The 16,357-nt window shown below is 41.5% G+C and overlaps 1 protein-coding gene across 1 annotated transcript in view; it reads right to left on the reverse strand.

The window, feature by feature from the left end:
* NUFIP1 (nuclear FMR1 interacting protein 1) overlaps positions 14,269 to 16,357 on the reverse strand; it is a 50,223-nt gene continuing 48,134 nt past the window's right edge. The window contains exon 10 of the mRNA NM_012345.3: positions 14,269 to 16,342. Within this exon, the coding sequence (NP_036477.2) occupies positions 16,226 to 16,342 (117 nt within the window). The 3' untranslated portion in view covers positions 14,269 to 16,225. The remainder of the gene's footprint in view (positions 16,343 to 16,357) is intronic.

Genomic DNA, 16,357 nt, shown 5'->3' on the forward strand with positions numbered 1-16,357 from the left:
CTGTGCGCCACCTCCCCACCTCTGCAGCCTATTCTCAACAAGGCAAGCAGAAGGAATCTTAAAACAAATCAGCTCATGCCACTTCTCAAAATCTTCCAGTGGCTTTCCATCTCACTCAGAATAAAAACCAAAATCCTGACTATAATCTACAAGGTCCTGCATGACAACCACCCCCTCCCATTCATTCTCCTCCCTCCCCATGCACCGAGGCTCCACTTGCCATTCTTCTAATCCTCTAGCTATGTCCTCACCTCAAGGCCTTTGCACTTGTGTGGGGAGGAAAGAGCTTTCCAGCCACCTGCATGGCTTGCTCCCTCACCTTCCCCAGGTCCTTTAGAAATTATCTTCTCAATGAGATCTTCTCTGTTTACCCTATCTGAAGCTTCAGCAAATGTCCTGCAGTTTTCCTGCTTTTCACTTTCTCACTAGCACATACTGATATTTGACATACTGTGTGTGTGCTACATTTATCTTGCTTGTTGTCTGTCTTTTCTACCGTGGCACAAACATTTTTGCTGTTTCGTTCACTACTATATCCCCCGCCTGGAACAAAACTTGAAATTTAGTAGACATTCAATAAATATTTGTTGAACAAATGAATGAATAAGGACAGTAACACAGATGACAGCATTCAAGGGTATGCTGAGTGATAATGACCACCATGAGAATTAAGAGGCATTAATTCTTAATTCTCTCCATGAGAATTAAGATCACTTCTGGTGAGGGCAGTCACAGAAATGTCAAAAAGAAGGTAGGACTCTAGGTGGTGGACAGAACCTAGCACGCGGGATGTAAATGAGCATAACTCGGAAGCAGATTTGGAGAGGGGCCATTCATTAGAACATGTAGTTAATTTCCGAGCAGTTGATAGACAGTTCCCTACCATGAGAAACTGTTGAACAATAATATCTTTCTTTGGAGTTCTTCTGAGGATAATAATTTTATAAAGGGACTCGGATGTACTACTGAGTACAGGTTAAGTCAGCTGCTGATTACTGGCGCAAGAGGAGCTGAATCTCCTTTTAGCAATCCTTTAAAATTAAAAGGCTATTCAGACTACATCAGAACAGCACTGTCTTCCATTTCCTGTTCTCTTAAAGGTCAGGGTCTTTCCACTCTACCTACAAGTAAACGTTTAATCAACAGCATTTCCTAGTGATCCTGCAAACACTCATCTGCATTGCTATTAATCTTTTCCCCTATTTCCCTGGACAAAACGTTGAGCAAGGAACAGTGCTTGCCAAAGTAGAAGCAGAAATGCAAGAGAGAAGCTACGCAGCAGATGAATCCGAACCACCAGCAGCAATATTCCTATGGAAATAAACAAAGACAACTAAATGAGAAAAGTTAAAAGCGGTTTATTCAGAACTTGCCATAGCAAGGGAGCCAGCCACCATCGCTTGTGTTTTGGTGAGACTCCAAGGCAGGCAGAGGAGCGGGAAAGCTTTAAAGTGAGAAACAGGGAAGGTTTCAGGTGTGCCTTGATTGGAGGCTGTCTGCATGGGAGCAGGCTAACTAGAAGAGGAACATCTTATGGGATTTTAGTGGGGGCATATCTGGCTTTCTCTGGTTGGTCCTAAATTAAAAGTAAGAACAAAAATTAGAGGCTGGGCGTGGTGGTTCACGCCCTGTAATCCCAGCACTTTGGGAGGCCGAGGCAAGCAGATCATTTGAGGCCAGGAGTTCAAAACCAGCTTGGCCAACATGACGAAACCCCATCTCTACTAAAAATTTAAATAACTGGGCACAGTGGCGCGTGCCTATAGTTCCAGCTACTCGGGAGGCTGAGGCACAAGAATCGCTTGAACACGGGAGGCGTAGGCTGCAGTGAGCCAAGATTGTGCCACTGCACTCCAGCCTGGGCAATAGAGCAAGATCCTATATCAGGCTGGGCGCGGTGGCTCACGCCTGTAATCTCAGCACTTTAGGAGGCTGAGGCGGGGGGATCAACTGAGGTCAGGTGTTTGAGACCAGCCTGACCAATATGGTGAAACCCCGTCTCTACTAAAAATACAAAAATTAGCCTGGCTGTGGTGGCGCATGCCTGTAGTCCCAGCTATTCAGGAGGCTGAGGCAGGAGAATCGCTTGAACCCAGGAGGCAGAGGTTGCAGTGAACTGAGATCGCGCCACTGCACTCCAGCCTGGGTGACAGAGGGAGACCTTGTCTCAAAAAAAAAAAAAAGACCCTATTTCAAAAAATTAGAGGAGCTGTAAGTTATTAATCAAGTCCTGGGGCTTCTTAGTACAGAAGCTACTATTTAGCTTCCTGGATTGTTCTAGAGATAGCAGTGTGACTTCCTCCAAGTCTGACTTACAGCAGGCTGGTTTCCTGGGCTGTTTATTATGGAGATGGGGCTGTTTCCTGGGCAGGTTGCTGCAGGTTGCGGGCCAGAGCTCCATTTTTACATGTGGTCCAGCCATTGCCCATCTGTGTACACAGTCTCTCATTTCCAAGAGGGTCAGCAGTCTCACTGCAGCTTCAAAACTCCTCTGCACGACAAGATATAATCCAGCGTCCCCTCACTTCTTCCTTCCACTTACCAGTCTGCGCCCCTCTCCTAAGGCCCAACAATGCTAAATTTTCCCTTCGTTTTTTCCTCACTGTAGCATCTCTCCTACCTCACCTATTTGAGCAAGATATCTCTTTTATATTTAAAATCCTTTTGAAAATCACCTTCAGCCAGGTGCGGTGGCTCACGCCTGTAATCCCAGCACTGTGGGAGGCCGAGGCGGGTGGATCACCTGAGGTCCGCAGTTCAAGACCAGCCCAGCTAACGTGGTGAAATCCTGTCTCTACCAAAAATACAAAATTAGTCGGGCATGGTGGCAGGCGCCTGTAATCCCAGCTACAAGGGAGGGTGAGGCAGGAGAATCTCTTGAACCCTGGGAGGCGGAGGTTGCAGTGAGCCAGATCACACCACTGCACTCCAGCCTGGGCGACAGAGCAAGACTCTATCTCAAAAAAAAGAAAGAAAGAAAGAAAATCACCTTCATGCAGTCTCCGATACCAGCCCCCTCCCAAAAAACTCCGGTTCCCCTTTTCTCTCTACAGTGTTTATGGGTCCATTATTTATTTACAGGTACACATACTTATCACGGGGTATTAACATAAATAACAGTGGCTATGTTTGTTTCCCAAGATTGCTCAGAGCCTGGGATACTGCCAGAGAAGTGCTTAGTAAATGGTTCTGAAGGATAAAAGACAGAGCTATGCCTTGGAAAAACCGAGAGCAATGCCAGTCAACCAGACAGAAGAGTTTCACATCATCTGCTTAACCCTGGGTGATAGCTTTTCTCCTCAGACCTTCTTTTATTTTAAATTTAGAAACACACCAGAGGCATTTCAGAACTGTGTGCATCCTCTGCATTTGGAAAAACAGTTTCCCAGCTCTGTTTGAGGAGTGGTAAAATAATATATAACACCCAATATTATATGTATATAAACATTAAATAACATTTAATAGTTATCATAGGTGAGAATTTAATTAAATCAGTATCTGGATCTGTAAACGAAATCCAGGTACTGATTTAATTAAATTTTCACCTATGATAGCTATTAAACTAAAGCCACATGGCAATAACAAGAATGAAATCAGCCTTCCACATTTACAATCAGAACTACAAAATAAATTGAGTAAGTATAATAAAGACGAACATAACAGCATCGCAATATGACAATGCTCTTTACCTAGATTCAGATTGGCTCCTGAAACACCTCGGATCATCCATCAGGAAAGCCTGATGTGGCCTGAGCTTTTGTCCAGTACTCAGTACCAGCACTATAATAAGTTCTATTCAATTAAAATAAATATATGGCCGGGCACGGTGGCTCATGTCTGTAATCCCAGCACTTTGGGAGGCCAAGGCAGGCAGATCACCTGAGTTCAGGAATTCAAGACCAGCCTGGCCAACATAGCAAAACCCCATCTCTACTAAAAATACAAAAATTAGCCAGGCATGGTGGCACACACCTGTAATCCCAACTACTGGGGAGGCTGAGGCAGGACTACTGCCTGAACCCAGGAAGTGGAGGTTGCAGTGAGCCGAGATGGTGCCACTGCAGTCCAGCCTGGGTGACAAGAGTGAAACTCTATCTCAAAAAATAAAAAATTTAAAAAAAAAGTAAAGTAAATAAATTTTAAACCCTCCATTATAAAGCTTTCAAATACATATATGGTCAAAATCAGTTCACAGCTATTTTAAAACTGCAACAGTATGTGCACTACCGCTCTTTTTTAAGACATTCACCCAGTTTATCTGGGTTCAAATTCTAGATTCCAAAAGAATGGCCATTATGTGTAAACACCGAATCGGAAGAGTGTAAAACTATCCTGTTTATTTTATAAGTTCTGGCCGGGCACAGTGGCTCACGCTTGTAATCCCAGCACTTTGGGAGGCCAAAGCAGGCAGATCATGAGGTCAGGAGTTCGAGACCAGCTGGCCAACACAGTGAAACCCCGTCTCTACTAAAAATACAAAAATTAGCTGGGTGTGGTGGCAGGCACCTGTAATCCCAGCTACTCGGGAGGCTGAGGCAGGAGAATCGCTTGAATTCGGAAGGTGGAGGTTGCAGTGAGCCCAGATCATGCCACTGCACTCCAGCCTGGGTGACAGAGCTAGACTCCATCTCAAACAAATCAAAAAACAAAGCAAAACAATAAAACAACAAAACAAAAATTTATAAGTTCTGAGTGTTTACTCTCTGTAATTTTGATCTCCTCTGAAATCCTCTGTTGAAGATAGAAACCCATCATCTGCCTGGAACTCAGCCAATGGCCAGAAAGGATACAAATAATAAATACCACTTCTCATTTGCATACTGCTTTATAGTTTACAAATCAGTTCATGTGAAAGTCATGTGGGCCACAAATGGTGGGTGAGGCATAATCAAACATCTGCCAAGTTCTTTCTCTTACAATATGGCAGTCATTAACAGGGTGGGGGACAGACACGGGAATTTGCGCAGTTCTCTGCAAAGCCCATAAAATTGTATGCAATCTTAAAAAGTAGCCAGTGGGGCCATCTTCCCTGCAGCATATGAACATGTTTCTTTCTGCCTCCTTCCAGCATGCTCTACAAAATAGTCCTGGTAATCGCCCATGTTACCAAGTCAGCTGTCCATGGCTGCTCCCTTCCCCGACCTAAAGAAAGATTCAAGTTCAAGTTAATGCTGGAGGACCCCTAGGCAACTGCCCAACTCCCTCCCAGGCCACTCCCTCCTCCCACTTTCTAACCTGTAGTCAAATAGCCTTTTAAAATCCTGTGCTGATTATTTTTTATCCTTTGGGATGCTGGGACTGGGACTCTGCAGCCCAGGCTTATTTTGGCAGCTGGCTGTCTCTGTTTGGCTCTGCCAGGAGGGGTACTAGAGGAAGGGAGCTGTTGGCTTCCTGTTCCTAAGAGTGACCATGATCACACCACCTCATCCCGGCAGCAGCAGTTGCTTCCAGTGTTTCCACCATTTCCAGAAGCAGCCTCACCACCTCCTCCCCATCTCTCTCTGCTCAGAGACACCAGCACCTACTGGCTGGCATCCCCTCCTCAGCATGAGGCATCGGGGCCAGCCAAGCGGGACCTTCCTAGCCCAGAGGGCTGAGTCCTCACCCTGCAGGGCCCTGCTCCAAGCCCCTAAGTTTCAAAAAATATTTTTTCTGACTTTTGTTCACCCAGCCCCAAGGGTGATTGCTGTTTCCTATTCTTCTTTTTTTTTTTATTTTTTGAGACAGAGTCTCACACTGTCACTCTGGCTGAAGTGCAGTGGCATGATCTCGGCTCACTGCAACCTCTGCCTCCCTGGTTCTAGTGATTCTCCTGCCTCAGCCTCCCAGGTAGCTGGGATTACAGGCGTGCCCCACCAGGCCCAGCTAAATTTTGTATTTCTAGTAGAGTCGGGGTTTCACCTTGCTGGCCAGGCTGGTCTCAAACTCCTAGCTCAAGTGATCTGCCTGCCTCCACCCCCCAAAGTGCTGGGATTACAGGTGTGAGCCACCGCACCACACCCAGCCTGTTTCCTATTATTCTTACCTCTGTGATACCTGAGTATCCCCACTTTGCCTTTCTCTTGCCTAATACCTGGCTAACAATCCTTTCTATTAAGTTATCTGTTGAAATTCCTATCGTGGTTTCTGTCTCCTGACTGAACTCAGACCAATACAAGTCCCTTATAGGAACTCTTTCCATCTGCCTTCTTATGAACAATTAAGAACACAGCTGCTGTTGCAATCTCCCAGGAGGTCTTTATCTTTATTAATTCCTGTTCCAGGGGCTGGTCCTCAACTTGTTAGGCTCAGAAATTGGCTGTGTCAGCAAAAAACAAAAGGGAATCTGTCCCTCATGTCACTGTCGTGAGGAGAGAGACATCTGGGCCAGCATGACCACAATTAGCCTGCCACAATTTCATGGATGCTGGGAGGCACAAAACCTCTGAGTCAGAGACAAACGGCTTTCTATTCATGGCCTTAGCAGTAGCCAGAGTCTCAGTATTTGTACTGGTTCCTCAAGCCCCAATTGCCACATGACACCGTGAAGAGGACTAGGTGACATCTGCATATGCAGTGGATCGAGTTGCATAGGGAACCCTGCTCTTAGGAAACGCATATATTTTATAATGGGCAGTAAGCCTGCCTGCCCTGTGCTCCATGGAGAGCCACCGTGTCTCTTTTCCAAGGCTGTGTGCTACACAAACATCCTTGAAAAGATAGTCCAGCACAAAGGAAGCGTGAGGGACCCTTGGAGAACTATCTCCCAACGCTCATCTAGAGCTTGCAAGTCAACATGGACTTCCAGTGAGGGTAATTAGTTGGATGATTCAATTGGTTTCCATAGCAAAGATCTATCTACAGGAACTAGAGTAATTGAGTCTTTGGGCCAGGGTCCCCCTGATCTTTTCTTATTTAGTGCCATTGTGACTCTCTGAATCTAGATTTTTTTTTTTTTATTTACAGCATACCAACTCCCCCCAATTTTTTTTTTTTTTTTTGGAGACAGTCTTGTGCTTTTGCCCAGGCTGGAGTGCAGTGGCGCGATCTTGGCTCACTGTAAACTCTGCCTCCTGGGTTCAAGCGATTCTCCTGGCCTAGCCTCCCCAGGAGCTGGGATTACAAGTGTGCACCACCACACCTGGCTAACTTTTGTATTTTTAGTAGAGACGCGGTTTTACCACGTTGGCCAGGCTAGTCTCAAACTCCTGATCTCAGGTGATCTGCCCACCCCTTGCCTTCCCAAAGTGCTGGGATTACAGGCATGAGCCACCACGCCACAATCCCTTTCTTATTGACATAGATATGGTTTGGACATTTAAGTATTGTTAGTCAAGCCTTGTTCTAGCCAGTAACCAAACTACCCTGTCTCTATAAAGTGAGTGCGTTTTCTGGACATTACCAGTTATGAGATTTAGAGGGCAGTCCTATTTCCAATTCGTTGGAAATCACCTTACTATCTATCCTTTGGCACCACCTATCCCCAATTCCATAAAAAGCCTTAGTTTAAAAATAAAATTGCTTTTGCTGTTTTTCCTTAATATAAAACTTAAAAAATTACTTTTATCTATAGATTGTATCTTTACAACACACATTGTGGTTTTTAGAATCTCAGGGAAAAAATGCTATCTTAAATGTTAGTAGACTAAGATTCTTGACCTCCTAAATCAGTGTCAAATGTGAGATCATAGCTGATGCCTGGCCTATGTAGTCAGCACTCAATAAATAGTAGTCGTACTGTCAGGACTCTGGAAAATAAGAGAAATGAATCTGAGCAAAAAATAGGAAATTATAAGAATAGCAGTATCTTCTAGAAACACGCAGGCAGAAATGCAGCCAAGTTTGGAATACCTACCCTGCCCTTGCCACTCTGTTTGTACAGTGTGACCCCATTCATTGCTGCTCATTCAGCTACTATGTGCCAGGCACAGTGCCTGAGGCCGGAACACAATAGGAACACAAACAGATACGGTTTTTTACATTGTAAAGCACAGAGGTTACAGTCTAGTGGAGAGAGACAAATCAAATTATCACGCAAGGAAATAAAAAACTGCCACTGTGGTAACTGCTGAGATAGGCAAGTACATGGTGCTGAGTGTGTATAAAAGGAGTGACCCACTGAGGGAGGTCAGCAAAGGCTTCCTGAGGAAGCGATGACCAAGCAGAGACTCAAGTTTAAGCAAGCAATAAGACAATAGGGAAACGAGAAGAGCTTTCCAGACTTAGAGAAGAGCAAACGCCTCCTGGCAGGCGGAAGCACACTGAGGAAGCATGGCTGGAGCTCAGGAAGATGAGGAGACCTGCCAGATCACAGTAAAACCAAGGTCACAGAACGAGGGTTTTGCCCACAGCTACACAACTTCTGGGATACTTTCCTTATACTACCACCTTCCTAGTCAACAGACTTCATTTTCTTTCCTCTCCAAACCTTCCCCTGGGACAGAGGTCCATCAGTTAATGCTCATTCCAGGGTAAAAAAGAAATCACGAAGTAGAACATGAAAAGGAAATGCAAAAACTTGAGCCACAAAAACTGGAGACCTCGCTATGGAATTTTTCTTTGTTGAGTGTGCCCAGGAGTCTTGGGGATGGTCTATGTCAGTGGTATTCAAAGTGTGGTCCCAGGACCAGCCACATCAGCATCTCCTAAACACTTATTAGAAAAGCAAATTCAAAGGCCCCACTCAAAACCTATGAATCAGAAATATGGGAGGTGGAGCTCAGCAATCTGAATTTTAACAAGCAAAAAGCCCCACAAAAAGGGTTCCTGTTGCACAGACAATAGTCTAAATCAGTGCTTCCCAAACCTGTCTGATCATCTGAAGCAACTGGGAGCTTGTTAAAATATTCCTGGGCCACACCCCAATACCTACAAAAATTGAAATCTCAGGGCAAGGCTTGGGAATCTATATTGAGATGATCATCCTGGTTTGAGAACCACTGGTCTATATCAAAGTAACACATTGTCTGACACAGTGAGCAATTAATTCCAAGTGTCATTTGTCCTTGCCAAGTAATTAAGGGTAGTAAGTACCTCAGGCTCTGCCAGTCCAACTCAGTACATTATTTGATTTATATCTTCCATCTCCTTAGCTCTTCCCAATTTTAAAACAATATAAGACACTTCCAATTTTGACATTTGTTGAGAAATTTCTCCTTGTCTCTCAGTCTTATATCATCACAGCCACCACAAACTGTATGAGACTTAATAAGTGCTTACCAAATTCAAGCATTATGCTTTTAGCTGCAGTCTAAAAATCTGTTCTGGAAAATATCCCTTTCAAAATATCAAAAAGAAAATCATCCAGCCTTGTAATACAAACAGGCACCCAATTCAGAACTTTTTTCTCTGCCTCTGCGAGGAAATGGATTTTCTACTATCGTGACTCAGTATTTTTTATTTATTTATTTATTTATGAGACAGAGTCTCACTCTGTCGCCCAGGCTGGAGTGCAGTGGTACAATCTCAGCTTACTGCAACCTCCACCTCCTAGGTTCAAGTGATTCTCATGCCTCAGCCTCCGGAGTAGCTGGAATTACAGGTGCCTGCCACCATACCCGGCTAATTTTTGTATTTTTAGTAGAGATAAGGTTTCACCATGTTGGCTATGGCTGGTTTCAAACTCCTGACCTCAAGTGATCTGCCCAGCTTGGCTTCCCAAAGTGCTGGGATTACAGGCGTGAGCCACCACACCCAGCCTCAGCACTGTTTTAAATAAACATACAAATAAATATGGGATGAATTAAGACAATATTACGTTAACAAACAAAAAACCTTCCAGAGCTGAAAGAACAGATAATATCATAGATTCATTTTCAAGTATCAGCATTTTCAAGAATTTTCCCATATGCTGAAATTTATGCAGCTGATCTACAAATAATATTGACTGGTCTCTTAGAGGTAATTTTACATTTCTCAGAAGCTCTTAAGCAAGACAATGATATGTGACTCACTTCCCACAAGATTTAAGAAGGCCACAGCCCTGGTAAGAAGTGAAAAAAAAAAAAAATGAGTGGTCGCCTTAACATGTAAAAAGTGTGTAATTATTGGTTAGGATAGTTTCAGAAAGTTTAGTGGTTACAGGCAGCAACCTTTGAGTACATAAAATCAGAATTTATGAAGTGGCTGCTGCTATGACTCTAATAAAACAAGGAAGCAATTTAATAGTTTTAAGAAAATGGAAAAGAGCACAGGAAGGAAGAAAAGATAGGCTTGAGTAAATTACTCTGCCCCTGAAGATAGAAAAAAAAAAAAAAACACTAACTGTAAAATTGTATAATAATAATGAACTGTTTGCTGTGGTATATGGTATTATCATGTTCAAAGGAAAAAAACCCTACAAAACCTAGAAGGCATTATCAAGAAGATAGGCCATGTTACCTGTAAAAGTAAGGGGATTAGAGCAAAAACAAAAAAAGTTGAAGGTCCTCTTCTCTACTTCTATAAAATAGAGAATTTAAAAGAAAAACCTGACAGATCCCTATCTCATACCATATGGAAAACAGATTAAAGACTGATATGTAGTATCACAAAAGTAATAGAAAAAAATATGTATTGGGGGGTGACACAAAGCCCCAAAGCCAAAGTAACAGATCCAACCTCTGCAAAAGTTAAAATACTAGCAAGAAATTGAAATATTTAACAAAAGATTGAGATCTATAATAAAGTATTTGTACAAATCAAGAATAAAAGGCAAAACAACAGGAAAATAGAGAAAGGATGAGAACAGACAAGTCACAGAATACAAGGGCCAAAAATATACATATTTGAAAAAATGCATGGCTTCACTAGTGTCAGGGAAATGCAAGAGAAAAAAAGGCATTCTCACCTGACAGAGTAACATTACCATATTTGCTGTTGTGGGATGTTCTTGACTCTCAGTAAGGTCATCTAAATGTAACCTGTGTTGTGTTTGAAAAGTCCAACACTGGGATCCCTGCACTACTGTTCTGGACTGGGGGCTGCTGACTGACTGGATCAGTCCTCAGGGTAGAGGGTGCTCCAGAAGGAAAGGCACAACTCCCTAGCCAAAAGCCATGTGGGGTATGAAAAAGGAGGCCTGGACACTACCTGGTCCTTCTTCCAGTCTCACACTCTCCTGAAGCACCTGAATGATAATCCCCAGCTGAACTCTGAGGAAAATTTAAATTTTTTTTTCTAAATTAGGATACATCTTACACACTGGCACATTTCACGCATTGGCAAAACTAGTAGAAAGATTTGTAATACATTGGTAAGAACATGGGTAAAAAGAAATTCTCATGTACTAGTCAAATAATAATTTTCAGAAAGTAAAAAACATAACAAAGTAAGCACAGGTCAAAAAACTTATTAAACTTATTACCATAGGACCCTGCAAGATGACAAAAGAGAATGTCACAGAAGAATGCTGGAATAAGATCTCATAGTTAAATGCTAATGTGGTTAATGTTCTACAAGGCTAAAAAACTGTAACCTCTTTTCTATCACAGAAAAATAACATACCACTCTACCAGATCATCGTTTGCAGCTTATCAAATGATGTACAAGTTAACATCTAGCTCTAGAGTCTGGGCCTTAACAACAGTAAATCATAGTCACAATATGTTAATTACCCATTAGGTGAATTTGTTTGACAATGCTCTAGTACACTGTTTCTCAAACTTTTTTGTTGTTGTTAATTTTTTTTTGAGACAGAGTCTCCCTCTGTCACCCAGGCTAGAGTGCAGCGGTGCAATCTTAGCTCATTGAAACCTCTGCCTCCTGGGTTCAAGTGGTTCTCATACCTCAGCATCCGGCACAGCTGGGATTACAGGCATGCACCATGCCCAGCTAACTTTTATATTTTTAGTAAAGACAGGGTTTCGCCATTAGATTGTACATGAATCTAAGTGCACCATTAGATTCTCATAGGAGTGCAAACCCTATTATGAACTATGCATGCAAGGAATCTAGGTGCACTCCTTAGGAGAATCTAATGCCTGATGATCTGAGGTTGAACAGTTTCATCCCAAAACCATCCCCCTGCCCTGTGCATGGACAAATTGTCTTCTGTGAAACTGGTCCCTGCTGCCAAAGAGGTTGGGGACCACTACTCTAAATCTTCAGCCAGTTAACAAGCTCCCTTCTCAGTCAAGGTTAAATGCAGAAAGACAGCTTATACAAATGCAGGGAAAACATACACCAACTACCAAGAGGGAATCCCTCTTTCCTAGCTAAGGGGGAACATTTAAGGACAACAGACAGCACACAGAGCCAATGATAATCAAAGGGGAAAACAAGGAACAGAAAATGTGAAAATTCTGATTGATCTCCTCTGAGATGTAAGGGTACTACATGTATGAAACAAGAATTAGAGGATGGGCGTGATGGCTCACGTCTGTAATCCCAGCACTTTGGGAAGCCAAGGCAGGTGGATTACCTGAGGTCGAGAGTTTGAGACTAGCCTAGCCAATATCGTGAAACGCCATCTCTACTAAAAATACAAAAATTAGCCGGACGTGGTGGTGCGCACCTGTAACTCCAGCTACTCTGGAGGCTGAGGCAGAAGAATCGCTTGAACCCGGGAGGTGGAGGTTGCAGTGAGCCGAGATAGTGCCATTGCACTCCAGCCTAGGTGACAGGGCAAAACACTGTCTCAAAAAAAAAAAAAAAAAAAAAAAAGGTGGGGGCGGGGGAGGGAGGGGCTGGGGCTGGGCATGGTGGTTCACACCTGTAATCCCAGCACCGAGGTAAGCAGATCACCTGAGGTCGGGAGTTCGAGACCAGCCTAATCAACATGGAGAAACCCCGTCTCTACTAAAAATACAAAATTAGTCAGGCATGGTGGTGCATGCCTGTAATCCCAGCTACTCAAGAGGCTGAGGCAGGAGAATCGCTTGAACCCAGGAGGCAGAGGTTGTGGTGAGCCAAGATCGCACCATTGCACTCCAGCCTGGGCAACAAGAGTGAAACTCTGTCTCAAAAAAGAAAAAAAGAAAGAAAGAAAAAGAAGAGAAAAAAGAATTAGAGACAGCAATCTTTAATATGTAAATACAAATTACTAGCAAGGCGAGGTGGCTCACACCTGTAATCCCAGCACTTTGGGAGGCCAAGGCAGGAAGATCACTTGGGGCCAGGAATTCGAGACCAGCCTGGGCAACATAGTGAGACTCCATCTCTACAAAAAATTAAAATTTAAATTTAAAAAGTAGCCAGGCTAATAGTGGTGTGCGTGCCTGCGGTCCCAGCTAATCAGGAGGCTGAAGTGGGAGGATCACTGGAGCACCAGAGTTTGAGATTACAGTGAGCTATGGTCATGCCACTGCACTCCAGCCTGGGCAACAGAGTGAGACCCTGTCTCTAAAAAATAAAGAATTACTAAATTTAAAATGAAATAGAAGAGCTGAATAATAAGGTAATGGATATGTTCAAAGAGTGAATTAGTGGTCTGGAAGGTGATATCTGAAGAAATCTTTCAGAATAAATAGATCAAGACAAAATACAGAAGTATAGTGTAGAGGGTAAGTTAATAGGTTTGACATCCACCTAAGAAAAATAATTTTAAAAATCTTATTTAAAATTGCCTTTTAGTACAAGAATGGTACAATGACTCAGATGAAAGGACCGTGGGGGTAAGCAGCATGAATGACAAATGTCCCAGAGATCTAGACACAAATTGGTGAAATTTTAGGACTCCAAGCATAAAAAGAAAACCCCAAAAGTTTTTCATGAGGAAAAAATAGGTTACTTATCAATAAATAAAGAGAGGTAATCGGATTGGTGTGACTTTAATCAACAATACTGGATAACAGCAAATGATTGTTATAGCTTCAAAATTCCAAAGGAAAATGATTTTGAGTCTAAAACCATAACTCAATTTAAAAAACTTTAAATTGAAGATTCAACATTTAATTACTTGAAGATATGCAGCAGCACACCAGAAAACTAATCCTGGGATGCAAGAGAAAGCAATCAGAAGAAAACAGTAAAACTCACAGTGGCCTAATAACTATTTACACATACGCACCAAGATCCCAGGGATTAATCTAAAACTAAAATCGTATCTGATTACATCACAAAAAGAGGCTGAGGTGGGGAAGTGAAACAATGCTAAGGTTACTGACTTAATTGGGAGATGGATGGAAGATGTGGCTACTAATTAACTCTAAACTTAAAGAAAAAAGGTAATCACTAAAGAAATAGCAATAGGTTTAATTACTTCCAAACCACTGGAGGAATAACAAGGAGAAAAAAATAACAAGCCAGTAAGATGACAAAATAAAAACAAGAGAGCATGATATATAGAAAATACAAAGTAAGACAGCCAGGAATAGTCCAAATGTTTTAATAATCTCAATTAATATAAATGTATTAAATTTCCCAGAGCTGGTTTGATTAAGGAAAATAGAAGTCAATTATAGAGGATATGAGAAAAAGTAAAGTATTTCAGTTATAAAAGGCACAACTCACCAATAGTCATGTAATGCTTACATTTCAGAAACTGATTAAACGAACAATAAGATAGGAATGTAGAAGGCAGAAAGTTTGAACAATTAACAAGCTAAATCCAAAAAAACCTGTACCCAAAACAGGCAAAGCACCCCTCTACCCACCCAAAACTCATAGAATATTTACAAATATTGACCATATAATTCCATAAAGTAGAAACCATACAGGCTATATTATATCTCCTTAGAAATTTTAAATACACTTGGAATCTGAAATACCCATTAAAAATAAACAATAGTCACCATAGCTAAAGACTGTCAGACATACAGCCAAGGGAGTACTCAGGAGTATTTTCAGTCCTAAATACATTTATTATCAGGAAACAAGAAAAATGGAAAATAAAACTGTTTCTATAATATACCTTAAGGCAGTGTGGGGATCAACAACATCCCTGGAGATATGGTCATCAATGAAAGTAGTCCAGGAGTCCATGAATTCATTTATTAACCCATAAGCCTATAAAATGTGTATGCTAACTAGTAATAAAAGTACAAACTGTGTTATATTTTAGAATATCAACTCAGTTGTAACACTAGTTACTTCATCCTGAGTTGGTTGGGAATCACATCTTTGAATATATCAAAATTAAACTGAGTTCCTTGAAGTCAGACATGGCCTTATTTATTTGTATACCTTTAATATAGGCACAATAGAGGTACAAAGAGTAAGCACTCAACAGTGTTACATGAATTGAATTAGTTAATGTATAAGGCAGATAATTTCCCAAAATATGGGGCTCACTGGAGGAGTAGGGTGAAACAGAATAAACAGATCTGTATGGTGGGTACAAGGCTGGAAAACACTGGCTAAACATGAATCTTCATCTCAGGTCTGTGACGTCACTAGGGTCACATGCCAGGTGTTCCAAGATTCTGGAGAGGATTTTACCAACATGGAGGAGCTATCAGCTTTCTTACCTTTCTTCCTTGACAGCAAGATTCATGAACTTCAATAATCACAATGTTAGGAAAAGTTAATCTTCAACTATAACAAACTAATTTTTTACAAATTTAGTCCCTTTTAGCTGTATGTCAAAAGGACAGACCAATAGCTACAGCTAGTACAATGACTAGAACACAAGCTCAAATTCCCTGGTATTATAGGAGACAAAAAGATCTCAATAGCTTTCATTTACTTTACAATTTTTAAAAAGCTTCAATTAAGTACTTCAATTTTATCTAAACATAAAGAGGCCCCATCTGTATTAATATTTTAAACATTCAATATTTGAGCTATGTAAGTCGTGCTAGTAGGTGAATTTAAACATGTCTTAAATAAGGAATATTTACATTTCGAAACCTTCTGATTGTATTAATTTGATCTGGTTTATTTTTAAAATATTCCCCCTTGCTACAGAACATCTTCCTTTTCTGCATTAAAAACAAAATGGCTGTATTTCTCTGCCCAACTTTGCTTAGCTGAATCAATCCTTTTAAAAGCTTTCTTCTTTACTGCTAAACCTATCTTCAATTCTTAACTAACACAACATCAGTCATTCTTACATGAGAACAATACATTAAAATAAATACAAAGAAAAAATTCTCCCAGCAAATACTAGATTCAATCCCAACAATACAGACACAGTCTTAAAAAATCAGTTATTTTTTTATTTGCATAGAACCAAAGGAAAGACTTAAAATTCCAACATACATCCTACGAGGCTTACAATTTAATTACAAATCCAATTTTGACGGAAAAAAGGGTTTTGGTTTTCCTCTACTAACGAGGATGATACTGTTTCACATGCTTCAGTTATGTATGCTGAAACACCAGATGCCTATACATCTTTACTTTTCGCAGAATTAGTATCCAGTCCAAAAAAGTCTTTTTTGATGATGTACCGAACACACTGCAAAATCACATTTCTTTCATGTCGAATGTCCGGAGCTAGAAGCTAAAACACAATTTA

This window comes from Homo sapiens, chromosome 13, assembly GCF_000001405.40.
Source record: "Homo sapiens chromosome 13, GRCh38.p14 Primary Assembly".
NCBI classification, from domain to species: domain Eukaryota; kingdom Metazoa; phylum Chordata; class Mammalia; order Primates; family Hominidae; genus Homo; species Homo sapiens.